Raw genomic sequence first — 21,517 nt, forward strand, 5'->3', positions numbered from 1 at the left:
CCTTCTGCCATGAGTAAAAGCTCCCTGAGGCCTTTCCAGAAGCAGATGCAGCCATGCTTTCTGTACAGCCTGTAGAACTGTGAGTCAGTTAAATCCCTCTTCTTATAAATCACCCGGTCTCAGATATTTCTTTATAGCAATGTAAGAATGGACTAATACAGTCATGTATTAAACTTTGCCCTATACACTTCTTGAGGGCAGGCATTAGAGCTTTGGATTTCAGCTCTTTCATTTCCTATCTGCTAAATGATGACAAAGGGCTAGAAATTCCTTAGCATAACATAGGGGAAGGGTCTCAAGAGACAGAAATGCTGAATTTGCTCTATAAGAGATATTTTCAGTGGGCCTAGAATCTTTTTTTTTTTTTCTTCGTCATGATGGAGACTTGCTCTGTAGCCCAGGCTGGAGTTCAGTGGCACAACCTTGGCTCACTGCAACCTCTGCCTCCCGGGTTAAAGTGATTCTCGTGCCTCAGCCTCCCAAGTAGCTGGGAGTACAGGCGCCCACCACCATGCCTGGCTAATTTTTGTGTGTTTGTATTATTATTATTATTGAGATGGAGTCTCGCTCTGTCGCCCAGGCTGGAGTGCAGTGGCATGATCTTGGCTCGCTGCAACCTCCGCCTCACAGGTTCAAGTGATTCTTCTGCCTCAGCCTCCTGAGTAGCTGGGACTATAGGTGCGTGCCACCATGCCTGGCTAATTTTTAGTATTTTTAGTAGAGACGGGGTTTCACCATGTTAGCCAGGCTGGTCTTGAACTCCTGACCTCCGGTGATCTGCCCGCCTTGGCCTCCCAAAATGTTGGGATTACAGGTGTGAGTCACCACGCCCGGCCTGTGTGTATGTATTTTTAGTAGAGACGGGGTTTCACCATTTTGGCCAGGCGGGTCTTGAACTCCTGACCTCAAGTGATCTGCCTGCCTCAGTCTCCCAAAGTGCTGGGATTACAGGCATAAGCCACTGTGCCCAGCCTAGAATATTTCAAAGGCAAGTTACTAATGATTCCAACAAGTCCAGAATGCTGGTGACAGGATTTACTGATGTGGGCTTTCTGATCCCTGTGGGGATGGGGGGAGTCCTGGGTGGACATTGTGGGTGGTAGTGATTTACTACCAGGAGGAAAGCCAGGGTGGTTTTGATATTAGGTAGCGGTCTAAATGTGATTAGCAAATCTCAGGGAATGGCTAATTCACAGATAACTCTGGCTGTGGTTCATCATGGGGGTCCCAGGAGTGCAAGCAGTGGGCATACCACTAAGATCTCATATCCCACCATCCCCAAGCTCAGCAAGCAGAGGTCTAAATCGAGCCACCATGCTAGATAGTCGTGATCACAGCCAGGAGTTAATTGGCACACCCAGAGTTCCTTGACTGAAGGAGAGGGAGTGTTCCTTGAGGAAAGATGCTGCAGAGCTATCAAATATGGACAGTGCATAGCTGGGTGTGGTGGTGTGTGCTGATAGTCCCAGCTACATGGGAGGCTGAGGTGGGAGGGTCACTTGGGTCCAGGAGTTGGAGGCTGTGAATAGCCACTGCACTTCAGCCTGGACAACATAGCGAGACTCCCATCTACAAAAATATATATGAGCAGTGTGAAACTTCCTCCTGCCCTTCTCTGCAGCCACTCCTCTAGTGACTGTGCTCTCCAAATCTTTTACAGCAAAACTGGCTCAGAGCAAAACTGGAGCCAGTTGGAATGCCATTCCCATCTGCCAGCATGGAGGCTTATTGGGGGCTGAGTATATATGGGGTTCTGACCCTAGTTCATTTCATGGTAGGCCCACTGGGACCCTAAGCTCATCCTGTGACTGTACCACAGTTCCTGAAAGTATTATTGGAATTCATAGCTGCAATAATCTCTAGAATCTTCACATTGGCTCCCTGACCTGTGAAGTAATTACTATAGTACGAAGGACCAAGAGGATGAACTGGTGTTCCCCGTCCCTAACAAAATAGAAATATGAAACAAGACTGCAATCCTAGTGGAACTGCAGGAATTTATGCCATTACCAAAGATCCAGAAGAAACAGACTTCGTGATTCTATTATATTCCCACCCTCTATCTTGGCTTTAAATATAATAGAGAATGATGTTGGGTTATGGTAAAGTTAACAAGGTGGTGATTTCAATTTGGTTAATATCCCAGGGATGGTCTCACTGAAGCAAATTAATATATCTCCCCGCAGGCCTTTGGTTTGCCACTGCTCATCTGGTGAAAGCATTTTCCCCATTAGGATAAGCAGGTTTGCCATTACCTGAGGGTATGCAGCACAACTTTACTGTCTTACTCAAGGTCAAGTTCATCATCTTCAGCTCTTTATCACCAAGAATGAGGAACTCAGCCAGGCACGGTGGCTCATACCTGTAATCCCAGCACCTTGGGAGGCCGAGGCGGGAGGATCACTTGAGGTCAGGGGTTCAAGACCGGCACGGCCAACATGTTGAAACTCCATGTCTATTAAAAATACAAAAATTAGCTGGGCATGGTGGCGGGTGCCTGTAATCCCAGCTCCTTGGGAGGCTGAGGCAGGAGAATCACTTGAACCCAGGAGGTGGAGTTTGCAGTGAGCTGAGATCGCACCATTTCACTCCACTCTGGGCGACAGAGCAAGGCTCTATCTCACAAACAAAAACAAAACAAAAAAGAATGAGGAACTCTTTGGTGAGCTTCTTTGGATTTTGGAGGCAATATGTATCATATTTAAATAGCTTGCTTTGACCCATTTACTGGGAAATCTGAAAAGCAACCTTTGGTCTCATGGTTAATATTTTATTACTGTGTCCACACTGAGCTTCTCTACCTGAATGGAGGACAAGACTCCCTGTGTGTGCATGGAACTTGTGGTGGGCATGAGGAGCGATGGTGCTGTCAGAAGGGCCTGAAAGACAATCTGACTACCTCTGTATCTTATGAGTCAGGCTCCTGGAAGGACTGTGGGGAGTCTTTCACAGCATGAAACCAGAAAATGTGAACAGGCATCTCACATTTCCTCTTAAGCTGAATAAGAGCTTACCTCATCCTGATGTTAAGAGGTGCTCAAGGAGTTTGTTCATTCCTGTGAACCTACCTTGTGGCTAGGTGGCTCATTTATAAACCTAATAGCAGAAACCTGCTTACTTTTAAATAAACAGTGAAAGAGGGAAGCAGATAAGAAAGATGGCAGATGAAAGTGAAAACTGATATGATCACTGGCAGTATATAAAGTTAACATTTCCCTCTTATTCACAAAAAGAAGTGGATACTCAGCTGGGTGTGATTGGCTCACACCTGTAATCCCAGCACTTTGGGAGGCCAAGGAGGGCAGATCACTTGAGCTCAGGAGTTCAAGACCAGCCTGGACAACATGGTGAAACCCAATCTGTACTGAAAATACAAAAATTAGCCAGGCATGGTGGTGAGTGCCTGAAGTCCCAGCTACTTGGGGGACTGAGGTGGGAGGATTGCTTGAGCCCAGAAGTCAAAGCTGTAGTAAGCCGAGATTGTGCCACTGTGCTCCAGCCAGGGTGACAGAGTGAGACCCTGTCTCAGAAAAAGAAAAAAGAAAACAAACAAAGAAAAAAGACTGGGAGCGGTGGCTCACACCTGTAATCCCAGCACTTTGGGAGGCCGAGGTGGGCAGGTCCCTTGAGGTCAGGAGTTCGAAACCAGCCTGGCCAACATGGTGAAACCCCCTCTCTACTAAAAGTATTAAAAAATTAGCCTTGAGTGGTGGGGCGTGCCTGTAATCCCAGCTACTTGGGAGGCTGAGGCAGGAGAATTGCTTGAACCCGGGAGGCGGAGGCTGCAGGGAGCTGAGATCGTGCCACTACACTCCAGCCTGGGCAACAGAGCAAGACTCTGTCTCAAAAACAACAACAAAAGTGGATACTTAATGCAAAAGACTAAGTTAACAAATAAAAGCACAAAGAAAAAACCAACAACAGAAATAACTTTATCACCCAGAGATAACCACTGCTAGCATACACCCTATTCCAATCTAGACTTTTATCTATGCTATAAATATGACATATGTTTACGTATTTAAGCGGGATAATAGTGTATATATTTATTTATAGTCTTTTTTCAAAGTTTTTATTATGGTTATCATCTTTCCATATCAATACTTTTTTTTTTTGACAGAATCTTGCTCTGCCATCCAGGCTGGAGTGCAGTGGTGTGATCTATACCTTCTGGGTTCAAGTGATTCTCTTGCCTCAGCCTCCTGAGTAGCTGGGAATACAGGCATGTGCCACCACGCCCGGCCAATTTTTAAAAATATTTTTAGTAGAAACGGGGTTTCACTGTGTTGGCCAGGCTGGTCTCGAACTCTTGACCTCAGGTGATCCACCCGCCTCAACCTCCCAAAGTGCTGGATTACAGGTGTGAGCCACCGTGTGGCCGTCAATAAATATTCTTATGCCACATGATTTTCATGGGTACATAGAATTCTCTCAAACAGAAAATGGCATACATTTCTTAACCAGTGCCTTAGTGTTCTACACGTAGTAACCAGTGCTTCTTGCAGAGGCTACCTGCGATTATAGAAAATTTTATGAGTACGCCTCCACAGTGAGTCTTACCATATATGGCTTTGTAGGATCCCTGCATGTTATTGGAAGACATCTGAGATCAAGAGTTATTCTATGTATTAAAATAATTAAGATTTTCTTCTCTGTAGATTTTCCCAATTCCCCTTTTTGACATTCGTCATAGTAACTAATATTTATATCACATTTTAATGTAACCTCTGTCAGTTCTTGGAATAACATTTGTGCAGCAATTAATTTTCCTAAAAGACACAATGCAGACTGCAAAACAATTTTATTACAATGTCACTGATGTGAGTCATTCATTTGGGAGATACTTATTGAGTGCCTGAAATAAAACCATCTAGGCTGGCAATATTCTACACTGAGTTTCCATAATGTGCCCCGCCAGAAAACACTAAATCTTAAAAGGTTTGAGAAGATAGAAATAAAAGGGGAGAGCTTTCATAACGGCTAGGGAAGAGTAAGCTGAGCTCACAAGATGTGTAAGAGTGGGAGGTAAAGTCTGAAAGATAGATCATTGCTGGGTGGAAGAGGCCCTTGAATGCCTCAGTCTATCTTTTAGTCTATCGTAGCCTGGGCTCCACCCTGAATCGTGAGAGGAGGGTTTGGAGCAGTAGAGTGACATGGTGGCCTGACACACTGATGTGGCAAAAGTCAGTTCATAGTCTTCATGTCTCTTAAAACCTCTGTAGTAAGACTTTGAATTTATGTTGGAAAATTGTTTACCCATCATTTCTTTCCTCTTGCTCATTGACTGGGATTCACATACAGAAACTAGCCTAGTAGTAAAACAGTTATGAATTCATATGTAGGCTGGGCACAGTGGCTTGTACCTATAATTCCAGCAGTTTGTGAGGCCAAGGTGAGAGGATCACATGAGCCCAGGAGTTCAGAACCAGCCTGGGCAACACAGCAAGACTCTGGTTCTAAAAAAAAAATATTAGCCTGGTACAGTGGTGTGTGCCTATCGTCCTAGTTGCTGAGGAGGCTGAGGTAGGAAGGATCACTGGAACCCAGAAGCCCAGGAGTTTGAGGCTGCAGTGAGGTTTGATTGTGCCACTGTGATATATAGCCTGGGCAACAGCGTGAGATCCTGTTTCTAAAAAAAAAAAAAAAAAAAAAAAAATTCACATGTAGAATCTGCAAAATTAAGTTTAAATATTCCAGTAATTGAACCAGATGTTTTCCTAAAATGTCATGATTAACACAGTGGTCATACGTCAGTGAAGCTTCTTTTACTAACATTTTTGTCTGGATAATTTTTTTTTTTTTTGAGATGGAGTCTTGCTCCATTGCCCAGGCTTGAGTGCAGTGGCACGATCATGGCTCACTGCAACCTCTGCCTCCCAGGTTCAAGCAATTCTCCTATCTCAGCCTCCCAGGTAGCTGGGACTACACTACAAGCGCCTGCCACCACGCCTGGCTAATTTTTGTATTTTTAGTAGAGATGGGTTTTCACCTTGTTGGTCAGGCTGGTCTCGAACTCCTGACCTCAGGTGATCCGCCCACCTTGGCCTCTCAAAGTGTTGGATTACAGGCGTAAGCCACCGCGCCCGGCTGATAACTTTTTATATTACAAAACAAATGCGATATCATTGGAAACATTTTGAAAATAGAAACAAAATCTTATAACTTAATCCCAAACATAACTATTTAAATTTTCCAGTCTTGTCAAAATGGCTATTTATTTTTACCCAGTTGCGATAATGTTATATAAGTATAGCAAGCATGTTAAGCAGCATTCTATAAACATATTAAATCATTCATTTTCATAATTATCATTTTAAGTTTGTATAAGCATCTTTGAGTAGATGTATCTAATTTAATAATTTCTCTATCTTTAGATGTTTTCTATTTTTCCCTGGTTTGATTAGAACTTTCCATCTGGTATGCCATTGGCATTCTGGTGCACAGAGATGGATTCAGGTGTGGTATCTCCTCAGTCCTCTGAGAGGCCGTGGATGGGACCTGTGGTGATCAGAGTCCTCAGATTAGTAGGCTCTGGCTAAAAGACACATCCTTGACTGATTATTTCAGTGGGTTGTACAAATATCATTTTCAACGTGTGCCATTATATGAAAAAAGTTGGAATGCGTTTTTATAGTGATGCAACTTCAATTTCTATTACTATTACTAGTCATTGAACTTGTAGTGTTTTTACAATTGAGTTTTAATTACTTTTTTATAGTTTAATGTATTTTAATAGCAAAGTTACAGGAACAGCACAGAAGACAGACAACATTTAAAAACATGGGCTAGTTGCAGTGGCTCACGACTGTAATCCTAGCATTTTGGGAGGCCGAGGTGGGTGGATCACAAGGTCAGCAGTTCAAGACAAGCCTGGCCAAGATGGTGAACTCCTGTCTCTACTAAAAATACAAAAATTAGCCGGACATGGTGGCGGGCACCTGTAATCCCAGCTACTCAGGAGGCTGAGGCAGAGAATTGCTTGAACTCGGGAGGTGGAGGTTGCAGTGAGCCGAGATCACACCACTGCCCTCCAGCCTGGGCAACAGAGTGAGACTGTCTTAAAAACAAAAACAAAACAAAACAAAACAAAACAAACAAAAACCAAAAAAAATGTACTTGCATGTAGGACAACACAGAAAGTATAGTGATGGAATATACTGTATGATAAAAATGATACAAACACCATTTAGTTGCCGTCAATAAGAAATTTACTTGTTTTTAAAAAAATCCAAATGCTGGCATTGTCCAGAAAAATTTAACACGTTTATTATAATTATTATAAAGTTAAACTGCTGAAACTTGTTCACTGAAACATTTTGACTCGCATTAATGCTTTACGTCCCCACATTTATATTAAAAATTCACACACAAATGAAAATGGAAAAACTGCCAATACCTGATTTCTGTCCCCTATTTTTCCACTCGCAATCATATATACTTAGTACGTTTTGACCCCATGGGAAAAAAAAAATAGATAACGTTCAGAACTACCAACAACAGGTAAAAGAAATTGTGTGTGTGTGTGTGTGTGTGTGTGTGTGTGTTAGAATGAAGTGTTTCCCATCATAGTGGCTTCTTTTTTTTTTTTTTTTTTTTTCTGAGACAGGGTTTCGCTTTTCTTGCCCCAGGCTAGAGTGCAATGGCGCGATCTCGGCTCACTGCAACCTCTGCCTCCCAGGTTCAAGCGATTCTCCTGCCTCAACCTCCTGAGTAGCTGGGACTACAGGCATGCGCCACCACACCTGGCTGGTTTTGTATTTTTAGTAGAGATGGGGTTTCTCCATATTGGTCAGGCTGGTCTCGAACTCCCGACCTCAGGTGATCCGCCCGCTTCGGCCTCCCAAAGTGCTGGGATTACAGGCGTGAGCCACCGTGCCCAGCATAGTGGATTCTTAAGCACATTCTTCAGGTATGTGGTGTGTTAGCTGGATGTCTTTTGGCATAATTGTTACATGTTCGGCATGGATAGCACACAGGTTGGTGTCTTCAAAAAGACCAACCAGGTAGGCCTCACTTGCCTCCTGCAAAGCACCAACAGCTGCACTCTGGAAGTGCATATCTGTTTTAAAGTCCTGAGCAATTTCTCGCACCAGACACTGGAAGGGAAGTTTGCGAATCAGAAGTTCAGTGGACTTCTGATAACGTCTAATTTCACGAGTGCCACAGTACCAGGTCTGTAATGATGAGGTTTCTTCACCCGTCCAGTAGAGGGCGCACTCTTGCGGCGTTTGTAGCTAGTTGCTTCCTGGAGTTTTTTTTGTTTGTTTTTTTTTGCTTTTTGTTTTTTTTTTTTTTTTGTTTGAGACGGAGTCTCACTCTGTCGCCCAGGCTGGAGTGCAGTGGCGCGATCTTCGCTCACTGCAACCTCCGCCCCCCAGGTTCAAGCGAGTCTCCTGCCTCGGCCTCCCGAGTAGCTGGGACTCCAGGCGCCTGCCACCGCGCTCAGCTATTTTTTTTTTTTTTTTTTTTTTGTATTTTAACTAGGGACAGGGTTTCACCATCTTGGCCAGGCTGGTCTTGAACTCCTGACCTCGTGATCCACCCGCCTCGGCCTCCCAAAGTGCTGGGATTGCTTCCTGGGTTCTTTACCACCAATTGATTTTTGGGCAGTCAGCTTTGTACCAGCCATGGTATAGTGACCTCCTTACTTAGACCCGTTCTTCTGCTGGAGCGTGGCGAGTGACAGGCGGCGCTGGTGTTGGAGAGCGATGGCTGAGTTTTAATTAACTTTTAAAGCAATACTTGAGGCCGGGCGCGGTGGCTCACGCCTGTAATCCCAGCACTTTGGGAGGCCGAGGTGGGAGACCAGACTGGCCAACGTGACGAAACCCCGTCTCTACAAAAAAAAAAAAAAAAAAACAACAAAAAATTAGCCTGGCGTGGTGGCGTGCATCTGTGGTCCCAGCTACTTGGAAGGCTGAGGCGGGAGAATCGCTTCAACCCAGGAGGCGGAGGTTGCAGTGAGCTGAGAGCGCGCCATTGCAGTCCAGCCTGGGCGACAGAGGGAGACTCCATCTCCAAAAAGAAAGGGGGGGAAAAAGCAATACTTGCACATAATACAAATGGAATCATACAGAAAGCTACAAAGTGGTAGTGTAGTAATCTGTTTTCACGCTGCTGACAAAGACATACCTGAGACCGGGCAATTTACAAAAGAAAGTTTTATTGGACTTACAGTTCCATGTGGCTGGGGAGGCTTCACAATCATGGTGGAAGGTGAAAGGCACGTCTCAGATGGAGGCAGACAACTGGAGAGAGCTTGTGCAGGGAGACTCACGTTTGTAAAACCATCAGCTCTTGTGAGACTTATTCACTATCACAAGAACAGCACGAGAAAGACCTGCCCCCATGATTCAATTACCACCTACTGGGTCTCTCCCACAACACGTGGGAATTCAAGATGAGATTTGGGTGGGGACACAGCCCTACCATACCAGGTAGTAAGTTCTCCCTTAACCTCAGGCTTTCAGTTCTTCTCCACAGAGCCTGACTAGTTTCTTGTGTATTGCTCTAGAGACATCCTAAAGCCAAACAAGTGGGCATGCATACACATATGTATATTTTAAGGGGCTACATTAAAAATATTTACTACAAGTACAACCAACTGGAATGAAGGCCCATGGTATATAGGATGTGCCAAAATGCCTACTGCATATTATCAGCCTTGCATGTATTCCTTGCTTTTATACACTAGTTTGCTTAAATTGCTTTTATCATCTAGTAATAATTTGGAGATTGTTCCACATCAGCACACGTAGAGCAACTTCATTCTTTTCAATGGTACTGTATTTTAACCACTTTCTACAGAAGGATCTTTAGGTTTTCCCCAGACGTTTGTTACTCGAAACAGTGCTCTAACAAATATCTTTACACAGCCTTAATTTATCTGTTGCATAAATGTCTAGACAAGGAAATGCTGGGGAAAACAGTATGCACATATAAAGTTATGACTGGTATTATTACATTTCCTTCCAAAGAGGTTTATCGTTTTTATCCCCACCAACAATGTAATGAGGGTCTACTTCCCAAACCCATGCTAACTCAATATATCTTTACCAGCCCAAAGGATGAAAAACAGTGTCTCACTGATTTAATTTGTATTTAATCTAAGATTAAATTTTAAGTTTTGTAAAACCAAGTTTATCTCTGTAATTGGAGAAAACATCATCCATTAACGTGAAAGGTAATAAGCTGATGAGACTAAATTCAAAGCAAAAGCTCGCTGAGAGGATCTGCCCAATGAGGAAGATGACAGTAGTGTCTGATTTTTTGCTCAGTGCCACCTCCTCCTTTTCCAACAGATAGCATTTGGGAGTGCTGAGTTATAAGAAAGTGTGGTGCGCTCGAGGCTTGCTTGAGGGTATGGAAATCTTGAGATAGGTCTGGAGAACCAGGGAGAGTTAAAAGAGAAAAAAAGTAAGAAAAAAAAAAGAACTTAAGGACTATCTGATCTGAGAGAGGCTTACAAAAATTAGCGTTTTGGTTCACTATTTCTCGCTATTTCTGCATTTCATTAACTGGCAGGGATCACTGGATACTCTGTCATGAATACATATGTTGGGTGTAGTTAGAGAACCTCAATGTCATTGAACCCGTCTTGTGGGTTTTTTGGAGAGAATGAGAGTATGCTGGGAGACATGCTCTGCTTGCAAATGATCAACCCCCGAGGCCAACCCCATTCATCATTTATTTTGAGGAACTGATGATCAAGACAGGAATATGTATGCCTGCCTACAAAATCCTCAAATCAGGCCACTGAATGTTCGACATGAGAACTTTGAATCACATAGAAGATACTCCAAAGGCAGAGAAAAATAGAAAGCCTTCCGACGCCCTGAAAAAATCTTGACCATCCCTGACTTCCCCCAATATGTAAGAAAACCTGTATTATTATTACACACACACTCCCACACACACCCCGCCCTCCCCCACACACACACCCTCTATCCTCACTCGATCTTATTCTATTCGCTCTATTTTTGAGCCTTGGATGTTAAAGTAAGGAACGAAGCTTAGTGGGGAAGCACTGAAGTGCATGGCGCAAATTTAGATTTAAGCCTCACGTTAGATTTCAGATTTGCACATCGAGTCCCGCCCCTATCCAATCCGGGGACGTCACCGCCCTAGTCTTCGGCTGTTTTAAAAGCAAGCGGTTTTTAAAACCCCCAATCCTGCTCTTTGTGTTGGCCTCCTCGGAGTTGCCCCTCTGCAAGCCAACAATTCGGGATAGAAAACACCTCCGTGGTGTTTTCCCGGGGCCCTCCCGCGCCGCGTTCGGCCGCCAGCCCGCTCGAGCTCCCGCGCCAACGCCTCAGGGGTTCGCCCTCCGCCCCCCGCCGCCGCGCCCGGCCCACGCGCAGGGCCCCTCTCCAGCGCCCCCTCCCCGGCACGCTGCGGCTGGCGCTCCCCAGCCCCGCCTGACGCTGCAGCTGGGCCGGAGACTCGCCATTGGATTAAAAATAGCGTCGCCAGTCCGCCCCAAGCCCGCGGTGCCCGCTCCCGCCCCGCAGCCCGCTCTCCCCGCCCGCCCCGGCTCGGCCGGCTGCCGTTGCCCGCGCAGCCCGCCCGTCAGCCCGCTCGCTGGCGCCGCCGCCGCCGGCAGACCCCGCGCTCCGGCTCCGGCTCGGCTCGCTCGGCTCCGGTGCGCGCCGAGGCCATGCAGCGCCGGGGCGCCCTGTTCGGCATGCCGGGCGGCAGCGGAGGCAGGAAGATGGCTGCAGGAGACATCGGCGAGCTGCTAGTGCCCCACATGCCCACGATCCGCGTGCCCAGGTCCGGCGACAGGGTCTACAAGAACGAGTGCGCCTTCTCCTACGACTCTCCCGTAAGTGAGGCGCCTCGGGGGAGGGTCGCGGGGCCGGCGGCCTGCGGCACGTGAAGCCGGGGGAGAAGATGCGCAGTGGCGGCCGGGACCTCTTCTCTTCCTCCGGGCGGCAGAGTTGGCTCAGGAACACTGCAGTTCGGCAGACACTTAGTGAGCGCCCCAGGGCTGCTGCAGCCGAGGACTGGCTCGTGCTGGTGGTTTTGCTCCGCCAGCCTCCCCAGGCTGGAAGGGCCCGATTCCCAGCAGCTTGCACACAGCCCCGCCGCCGTTTAAAGATAGATGAAATACAAGAGTTCCCTGTTCCGAACTGCACGTTGCAGATCGTTTGCGTCCTCCGCGGGGCAGAGCGCAGGGCGGGTAGGTGGACGGGATGATCCCCCCACACCCCGGGACACACACAGCCCTTCTTTTTCTGGGACCACTTGCTTTGCTCAGGGATCCCCACTTCTGGACAATTCTGATTTGCTCTCTGAGCTTTTCTTCCACCAGTTCCCATTTCACCCCACTCCTTTTCTTGTCTTTAGAATGTCAGGGCCAGGCGCGGTGGCTCACGTCTGAAATCCTAGCACTTTTTAAGAGGCGGAGGCGGGCGGATCGTTTGAGGTCAGGAGTTCGAGACCAGCCTGGCTAATATGGCGAAACCCCATCTCTACTAAAAAAGAACCCCAAAATTAGCCGGGCGCGGTGGCGGGAGCCTGTAGTCCCAGCTACTCGGGAGGCTGAGGCTTGAGAATCGCTTGAACCGGGAAGGAGGAGGCTGTAGTGGGCCGAGATCGCGCCACTGCCCTCCAGCCTGGGCGACAGAGCGAGACTCCGTCTCAAAAAAAAAAAAAAAAAAATGTCAGACGAAACCTTCCGGTGCCTCCACTCGGGCAGCAGAAATAGGGGATCTACTGGATTGCGATGGTTTTCTTAAGCCTTCCCCACCTTGCCCTTCTAAATGAGTCACTTGGACTGACATGCGCAAGTATAAATTATTAAAAGTTCAATCCCGAGTCGTGACCTCGGAGAATGAGGAGGAAGCTGAGAGGGATCGCCGCCTTCCACCCGGGGCGGTTGGTGGTGGTTTTCACCTGGTTCTATGTGAATGTGTGAGAAGCAGCAGGAGGGTGAATGTCCCTTTCAAAAGTCAAAATGGGCTTCAAAGTGACTCAGCTGTCTGGCGTTTATCATGTCTTTTTGAGGACCAGGTTATTTTTATCCACCCACTTTAGATCTCATATGTCACCCGGCAGATCTCAATGCATTGGGAGGCGCATGGATTGGATGGACCGAGGCAGGTCTCGCAATGGTCTAATGTATTTTATTCATAGCATGTGGACTATTGTCAGAGGGGAAAAGAAAAGTCCAAATGAGCGGCAACATTTCCAAAGTTTCCTTTATTATCTGTGGGTTGATTTTGGCTGGCTTCAAAGCACTTTTGCTCGACACACACTGGAGTATCAGAGTTAGTATCCTCTCTGTGACATTTAGTTTTTTTATTTATGGTAACTCCATATCATTTGAGGGATGAAACCTAACTTAATTTTTGATTGTTTACTTTTTTTTTCTTTCGAAAAGATCCACAGAGTGGAGTGTGACAATCGGCAGTCCTTTTTTAGGATGTTATCCATAAATTATTTGAAAATGCCATTTTCAGATTGTATGGCCAGTGTTGGGCAGTTCCCACTAATAGCTTCTAAAGGTGGAGAGGGATGATGGTCCTAACTTAAGCAATTGACAGATTGTTACCTCCAGGAAGAAGAAAGTGGCCTAAGTTTTTTAGGATAGCACAACATGGAAAGTGGGTCAAATGACTTTCCCCATGTTTTGATTTGGGCTCTTCTTCAAGTTCTGCTTACAAACTTTGCTCTTGGAAGTTTTTGCTGCATAATGCAGTGGATAACAGGTGTGGGAAAAAAGGCTGATTGTTTTAATTCATTTCCACAAATAGTTATTGGGAGCTTACTGTGTGTGTTTCTAGAATGTTACTATTCTAGAAACATCTCGTCCAGTGTAGACTGATGATTGCAATCATATCACAGCAGTTCCTTAGGGGAGACTGGGATTATTTACAAGGCTGATGAATCAGTATATTTCATTATCTATGTTTCAGGGGAGGAAGGGAAGGTTTGATAATATTTATCTTAAAGCACAGTGCGTGATAATGGGAAGGTTTTTTTTGTTTTGTTTTGTTTTTTTTTTGAGTTTTGCTCTTGTTGCCCAGGCTGGAGTGCAATGGCACAATCTCAGCTCACTGCAACCTCTGCCTCCTGGATTCAAGTGATTCTCCTGCCTCAGCCTGCCAAGTAGCTGGGATTACAGGCGTGTGCCACCACACCTGGCTAGTTTTGTATTTTTAGTAGAGGTGGGTTTCGCCATGTTGGTTAGGCTGCTCTCGAACTCCTGACCTCAAGTGATCCACTCACCTTGGCCTCCCAAAGTGCCAGGATTACAGGCGTGAGCCACTGCACCCAGCCAGTATTTTGTTATGGTATGTAACACTATACTATGAATCCAATAAGGGATTCTTCAGCACCTACTATGTGCCATCTCATACATGCATGACTGTAAGGAGCATAAAGAGCAAAATCCATTGGTGCTAAACACGCCAGAAACTTTAATCCACAAGTGCCACGGGATGTCTTAGGGAAAAGGCCAAAACCAGCTGAGTGGAAAAAAGAAATCATCCCTGCATTGGTTACTGTTGAAAAAGGTTATGTACAAAGATGGCTAGAAAATAAGGGAGATCAACATTCAAGGCCAGGGAAATTATATGTGCAAAGAAGATACAACGTGTGAATATTTCCCACTAATTTGCCTGTAATGTATTTGGAATAAAAAGATACATTTGGCAAGTAGCAAGAAGTGAGGTAGAACCAAGTAGAGAGTAGATGATGGGGGCCTTGAATCTGGAAAACATTTGATCTTGATTTTATATGGTCAGTTATGGAAAGCTATTCTTGGTCATGTGATTTAAAGTGGTGTTGGAGGAAGATTGTGAATCAACAAATTCACAGTGTACCTACCATGTCTAAGGCACTGTCTGTAGACCTTTGCCATTCTTCACCTTTGTGGGATATGAGTAGTGTATTAGTATCTCTCTTCCCTTCTTCCCACCTCCTAGGGCTTAACACATAGCAGATGCTCAATAACAGCTATTTTGGGATGAGTGAGAATTTGTTTTTCACCTACCTCTTTGATTTCATCCTGGACCCACCCTCCCACCTTGACGTGTAGGTTCACCTCTCCATGGTTTGGTTCATTGTGCAAGGTCTGTAATGCACCTTCCCAGTGGAGCTTCTTTTCAAGACTGAATTCAAGTGGTTCTTGCTCTATGAATCATTTCCATATTGCCTTCCACCAGACCCCATAAGCATTCCTGTCTAACCCCCAGTGACATGTTCACGTGCTTGTCTCTGCCTTTGAGTGCGACCTTCCTGGAGAGTGGGGACTTTGTGTTATTTCCAGCAGCTGGTCTAGCATCTGGTATATATACCAGGAGCTCAGTGAATGCTTTGGAAATGTATGAATTCCATGGAGTTACAGGCCCTGCACATGGTGAGGATAAAACATATGGGAAATACTGAGAAAGGAATCATGGGGGATTACCACATAGAATGAGGTGATTTCATTGATTGTTGGGGACAGTCGTGAAGGAGAGAGCCCAGACTGGCAGTGTTTGAATCCTATCTCCGTCACTCAGTGTGTAACTTCTCTGAGCCCCAGTTTCTCCATCTGTAAAATGGAGACAGTAACAACCTATCTCAAAAGGTTATTTTGTGGATTAAATAAATTAATACATAAAGTGTGTCTGGCCAATTAGTAATCACATACACATTTGCTTTAAAAAAGGAGGAAAGGCCGGGGCGCGGTGGCTAACGCCTGTAATCCCACCACTTTGGGAGGCCGAGGCAGGTGGATCACCTGAGGTCAGGAGTTTGACAGGAGGTGGAGGTTGCAGTGAGCCAGGATTGCACCACTGCACTCCAGCCTGGGCAACAGAGTGAGACTCCGTCTCAAAAAAATAAAATAAAATAAAAAAATTAAAAAGGAGGAAATAGAGAAGAATGGAAGGAAGAAAGAAGAAAGAAAAATAGTCAGTCATGGCCGGGTGCTGTGGCTCCCACCTGTAATTCCAGCACTTTGGGAGGCTGAGGTGGACAGATCACAACATCAAGAGATCGAGACCATCCTGGCCAACGTGGTGAAACCCTGTCTCTACTAAAAAAAATACAAAAATCATCTGGGTGTGGTGGCACGCACCTGTAGTCCCAGCTACTCGGGAGGCTGAGGCAGGAGAATCGCTTGAACCTGGGAGGCAGAGGTTGCAGTAAGCCGAGATTGCGTCACTGCACTCCAGCCTGGTGACAGAGGGGAATTCCGTCTCAAAAAAAAAAAAAAAAAAAAAAAAGAAAGAAAAAGAGTTAATCACAAGTTGTAAGCCCAAGAGTCTGGTTGTCAGGGGTTGTGTAGGAAGTTTTGTGTGCTTAAGTGGAGGAGGGATGTCTTGGTTCACACTTCTGCTCATAAGCCTCCCTGGACCAGCATGGAAATCTCCTCTCATCTCTTTGGTTGTTGAGCTCCTCATTTCTATGAGTGTACTTTGTCCTGTGTCTCTTCAGTTTCCAGGTGGTCAGTTCCAGTGAGGCGAGTCTCTGGCTTGTCCATGTGTAAGACTCATTTCCTTTTCTTTCTCAGCCTCCTGAGTAGCTGGGATTACAGGTGCCCACCACCACGCCTGGCTAATTTTTTGTATTTTTAGTAGAGACGGGGTTTCACTATGTTGGCCAGGCTGGTCCTGAACTCCTGACCTCGTGATCCGCCCACCTTGGCCTCCCAAAGTGCTGTGATTACAGGCGGGAGCCACTGCACCTGGCCAACTGATTTCCTTTTCTAAGACCACCTTCCTCTTGTGATCATTTGTCTGGGCTCTCTCTCAACCTTCATCTTCTGCTTCAGACTTCATCCTTTCCTCTGAATGCCTGCATTACGTAGAGTCTGTGTCATGCCGCACAGCGGTTCTAGTCTGTCCTCATAGTTGGCTCTCTTGTGCTAATTCTGCCCCCCTCCCCACCTGCATTGTAAGTGGAGCTGTTTATGCCTTGCCTTAGCTTGGGTCAACTGAAAACGGGGAGGCTTAGACAAGGCAGTTTATTTTGGAAAGTTATCCCAGGGAACAGAAGTGGAATTATGAGCAAGAGAATAGTGACAAAGAGAAAGAAGGAAAGCCAGTCCAAGAGTGAGTTATGGAGCTGGCTTCCACAGTGGGCAGCTAGAGCTAAACCTCACTGGGGACTCCTTGGGTAACTGCAGAATGTGCCTCAGAATTGTCCACTTGAGATGGAGCTGGGGAGAGTACTGTATTTATCCACTGGCTCCCATCCCCCATTGGTCAAGGTTTGTTCTAGGGGTGGAAAAGCCCTCGCTCTTCCAAGTCTGTATTTATAGGCACTAAGCCTGCAAATGGGAAGTATTTTGACAAGCTGAGCAGGACCAGCAGCAGCTGAGAAGCAAGAGGTCCTCAGTGCAGCTGAGGCTAAGACTGTTGGGCCACACCTGCTGTGACAATCAGCTGCATACAGTGGCTGAACCAAAAAGGTGGCCGGAGGGGATATGATACTCAGCATAAATGGTTGCCCCTTACTCCCACCTCTTCTTCCCTTCTCGCATTGGGACTGTTTTTTAAGAAGGAGCTTTTTTCCCATTTTTGAAAGCTCTGAGATGGCTCGGTGATATTGAGATGTCACTGTTGGTTCTTTGTCTTCCTGGGAGTCTTTGGAAACTCTGATGGACAGGGGCCATCAGGTGGGAGTGGCTGGTTTAGATATCCACCAGGAAAGACTTTGAGATCTCCATCTACTTGTGGGAACACTTCATGTTAGGGGCTCAGTGAATCCTCTGTCTTTCTGTCCTTTCTTCCACAAGTATTTAGTGGTGTGCCTGGTATTCTCTCAGGCATTGCCAGTAATAATAATGACATCTCACATGTATATAGAGCAGTTTTCAAAGCGTGCTCCCTGAACCAGCAGCACTAGCATGTCTTGGGAACTGCTAATTCTGTTTCAGAAGATCTGGGGGTGGGGGTGTAGCAGTCTGTGTGTTAATAAGCTCTTTGCATGATTCTGAGACATGCCAAAGTTTGAGACCGAGTGATAGGGCACTTACTAGGTGCCATGCATCATTCCAAGCCTTCTAATTATTGCATATATTATTATACCTACATGAACTCATTTAATCATCACAACAACCCTATGTTATATACTATTACCATTTTGCAGATCAGGAAACTCAAGTACAAAGATCACCCAGAGAGTAAGTAGGAGAGCTGGGATGTGAATCTGAATTGTCTGACTCTAGAATCTGTTTTTAAAAAACCATTTTGGCTGGGCGCGGTGGCTCACACCTGTAATCCCAGCACTTTGGGAGGCTGAGGTGGGTGGATCACCTTATGAGGTCAGGAGTTCGAGACCAGCCTGGCCAACATGGTGAAACCCCGTCTCTACTAAAAATACAAAAATTAGCCGGGCTGGGTAGCGGGCGCCTGTAGTCCCAGCTACTCAGGAGGCTGAGGCAGGGAGAATCGCTTGAACCTGGGAGGCAGAGGTTGCAGTGAGCCAAGATCCCGCTATTCCACTCCAGCCTGGGCGACAGAGCGAGACTCTGTCTCAAAAAACAAACAAACAAAACATTTTAACTCGATTTAATTGTACAATTCAGTGGCATTAAATTACATTCGCATGGAAACATTTTAACTCGTTTTAATTGTACAATTCAGTGGCATTAAATTACATTCGCATTGTTGTGTAACTATCACTATGCATTGTTGTGTGAATATCACTACTGTCGATCTCCAGTTTTTCATCCTTCCAAACTGAAACTCTGTATCCATTTGACAATAAACCCCCACTTCTCCCTTCTCCTAGCCCCTTGTAATGTCCATTCAACTTTCTGTCTCTATGAATTTGCTTATTCTAGGCACTTTATATAAGTGGAATCACACAGTATTTGTCCTTTCGTGTCTGGCTTATTTCATTTAGCATAATGTTATCAAGGTTCAGTGTTGTAGCATGCATCAGAATTTCCTTCCTTCTTAAGGCTGAATAATATTCCATCATATATATGTACATGTATTACATTTTATTTGTCCATTCACCTGTTAATGGACATCGGGTTGTTTCTACCTTTTGACTGTTGTGAATAAAGCTGCTTCAGTTGTTGGTGTACAAGTATTTGTTTGAGTCCCTGTAGATTCTCTGCATTTTACCATTGTACTATGCACGTTGCCTTGCAGTCAATGAGACTTCCCATCATAATGTTTACTTGTAGGGAGAAAAAAAAGTTAATTTAGGATCTCTGTGGAAAACTCTTCCTCCTGATGGATAAACTGATACAAGGTAGTAAAGCAAAATTTCAGAGCAGACAGACTTTTTTCCACTTTGAAGATATAAACTTAAAGTAAATCTTATTAGTTTCACATGTCAAAAGCTTCCTTCCAAAAGCAACTAGCTGAAAAGTTGTTCTCGAGCAGTGATTCTCAAGCTTTTTGACCTCTTTATACTCTTTAACTATTTTTGAGAACCGCAAAAAGCTTTTGTGTGATTTCTGTTGCTATTTACCATATTAGAAGTTAAAACTGAGAAAAATTTAAAACAATTTGAACAATTACATTCTATTGGCTTTTGAAATGATGTCATTGCATGTCACGTAGCCTTGGGAAAATGCCACTGTGTGCTATGAGAGAATGAGAGAGAGAAAGGCAAGTAACTTCATGTTATGAAAATAGTTTTGACCTCCCAAATTACTTAAAGACTCTGGGGTGTCAGAGGGTTACCAGGCCTTACTTTGGAAACCAAAGTTCTAGAGTTTAGGCAAGAAGATATAACCACTTATTCCAGTCACTTACCTCACCTGAAATGTAGCCTATGGGTTCACATTAAATTATTATCTTAATTTTAGCTCAACCATAGATGTCATATGTTGCATGCACATTCTTTTTGAAGCAAATTAAAATTTAGAGAGTTTGATTGACACTTTTTGAAAAAATTAGAGCTACTTGAGCTGGGAATTTACTATTTCATAGATAGGATTTTTTTTTTTTTATTCTCTGAACTGTGAGTTTCATTGTAGGGTGACCTGGCTGGGCTGTTTCTTTGGGGAAGCTTAAATGTTAGTGTGATTTTTTTTTCTTCCTTTGGCTACCAGGTAGGAGACTATTCTAATCTCTTGCCTGGAAAATACAGGCCTGTCTACCAGTATTTAGGGAACTGAGTGGGAGTGGAGGGTGAAGGTGGTCTCAGCATCTGGGTATTCGATACCAGCTGGATATTGCCTGTAGGTTCTCAGCTGTGTCCCTGCTTTGCTAAGCTTCTCCCATCATTGCAGGGGCTGGCTCCTGGACATTGCATTTCCCAGAGTCCCTTGGTGGCAAGATTCTGATACTGATTTTTCCAGTAAGAGATTTAGAAGGCAAAAGAGAAGGAGAAGCCACTTTGCTATTGCAACTGTGGCACCTGGTCGATGTGAGGTTTTCCTAGCAGCATCTGAGTGTCCTTCTGGGACACAGTTACCTCAGTGGTGGGGATTCTGACGTCATCTGTGCAGTTTCTTGTGACGCTTGTACATCCTGAGTTCCTGAACATAGGCAGTGATTTCTCTGACTGTGGCTCTCATGCCCTTTCCATGATTTTTTAAGCTTTTAATTTCCTGTATCAAATCTCTTCCTGCCTGTAATACCTGAATAGCATCTATTTTCTGACCAAATCTGGACTGATACACATACATTCTCTTAGTCCCCATGTTCGTGATGGTGCCTCTATTCTTAACTAAGCTCATTCTTCCCCAGCGCTGAAACCTTTGTTTTTGTCTGCTTTAGAGAATCACTCTCTAGTTCTTTGCCAGGAGAGGGAGGGGCCTCTTGGAGTGGAGGTGAGGTTTGGGGCTCTGACGGCTACATAGAAAACCTTTCTCTTTATTTTAGCTCCTACTTCACCCCATCTTCCAGAGTTATCTTGAATTGCCAGTTCTGGAGTCTTTTGGGCATTCTGGGGTGAAGATCAGGTTGGATCTTGGCTTTCCCTGCTGCTGGCCTAGGATTCAGCTCTGTTGCCATCTTAGTCTTTTAGCATTCATTTACCTGCCGTCCAGCTTTCCAGACTTTAGTGCTATAGCTTATGTCTTGAAAAAATCCCTTTGCTGTCCTTTGATTGGGGTTTCAGAAAGGAGTGAAATGGATGTCTTTGTGTCATTTGCCATGTGTACCCTAAAATCCTGCTTTTCTAAAATCATAATCAAGAAGTCACTTGCTGTCCCTTTTGGACAGTAGTTCATTACCTTTAAAGTTGTACCATTTTTAGAGCTTTGGAATGTGAGAGATGATGCTGATCCTGTCAGAAAGACTTTTTGGAAAAGTTCATGTTCTCTGCTCATTTTGGATCTGGACATCTGTGCAACTCTGAATTCTCTTTTTCCTCCCCTGCATTCCTCTCCCTATGGACTGGAGCTCAGTTAAAGGAGCGGCCATCCATTTTAGTGCCCCAGATTGAGAGGTGTATGGTATCATCCATTCTACCTCCCTCTCTCTCTTTTTATTTTTTAAGTTGTGATAAAATACATATAACATAAACTTTACCATCTTAACCATTTTAAAATGTACAGTTCAGTGGCATTGGAGTACATTCACACTGTTTTGCAGTTATCACCACTGTCTGTCTT

At 45.1% G+C, this 21,517-nt stretch overlaps 1 protein-coding gene and 1 pseudogene across 5 annotated transcripts in view, besides 4 other annotated features; one reads left to right on the plus strand and one right to left on the minus strand.

Moving 5' to 3' along the window:
• H3P13 (H3 histone pseudogene 13) lies at window positions 7,876-8,713 on the minus strand (annotated as a pseudogene).
• Window positions 11,203-11,282: a silencer, noted in NCBI's record as "silent region_14922". NCBI's record gives its function as "represses an Ori minimal core promoter by ATAC-STARR-seq in GM12878 lymphoblastoid cells {active_cell/tissue: GM12878}" and the evidence as "EXISTENCE:reporter gene assay evidence [ECO:0000049][PMID:35858748]".
• Window positions 11,293-11,632: a silencer, noted in NCBI's record as "silent region_14923". NCBI's record gives its function as "represses an Ori minimal core promoter by ATAC-STARR-seq in GM12878 lymphoblastoid cells {active_cell/tissue: GM12878}" and the evidence as "EXISTENCE:reporter gene assay evidence [ECO:0000049][PMID:35858748]".
• Window positions 11,293-11,944: a biological region, named in NCBI's record as "H3K27ac hESC enhancer GRCh37_chr3:179370658-179371301".
• Window positions 11,301-11,944: an enhancer, noted in NCBI's record as "H3K27ac hESC enhancer chr3:179370658-179371301 (GRCh37/hg19 assembly coordinates)". NCBI's record gives its function as "activates a minimal SCP1, AML or CMV promoter by ChIP-STARR-seq in primed H9 embryonic stem cells {active_cell/tissue: H9 hESC(primed)}" and the evidence as "EXISTENCE:reporter gene assay evidence [ECO:0000049][PMID:30033119]".
• USP13 (ubiquitin specific peptidase 13) overlaps window positions 11,471-21,517 on the plus strand; it is a 136,362-nt gene continuing 126,315 nt past the window's right edge. For 4 of the 5 annotated variants that reach the window (NM_003940.3, XM_011513269.2, XM_017007426.2 and 1 more), the window contains exon 1: window positions 11,471-11,824. In NM_003940.3, coding sequence (NP_003931.2) covers window positions 11,657-11,824 — 168 coding nt within the window. In that variant the 5' untranslated portion in view covers window positions 11,471-11,656. Of the gene's footprint in view, window positions 11,825-12,088; window positions 12,182-21,517 lie in introns of those variants that run through there. The other variant, XM_017007425.2, reaches the window with a different exon arrangement.

This window comes from Homo sapiens, chromosome 3 (genome assembly GCF_000001405.40).
Source record: "Homo sapiens chromosome 3, GRCh38.p14 Primary Assembly".
Taxonomy (NCBI): Eukaryota; Metazoa; Chordata; class Mammalia; order Primates; family Hominidae; genus Homo; species Homo sapiens.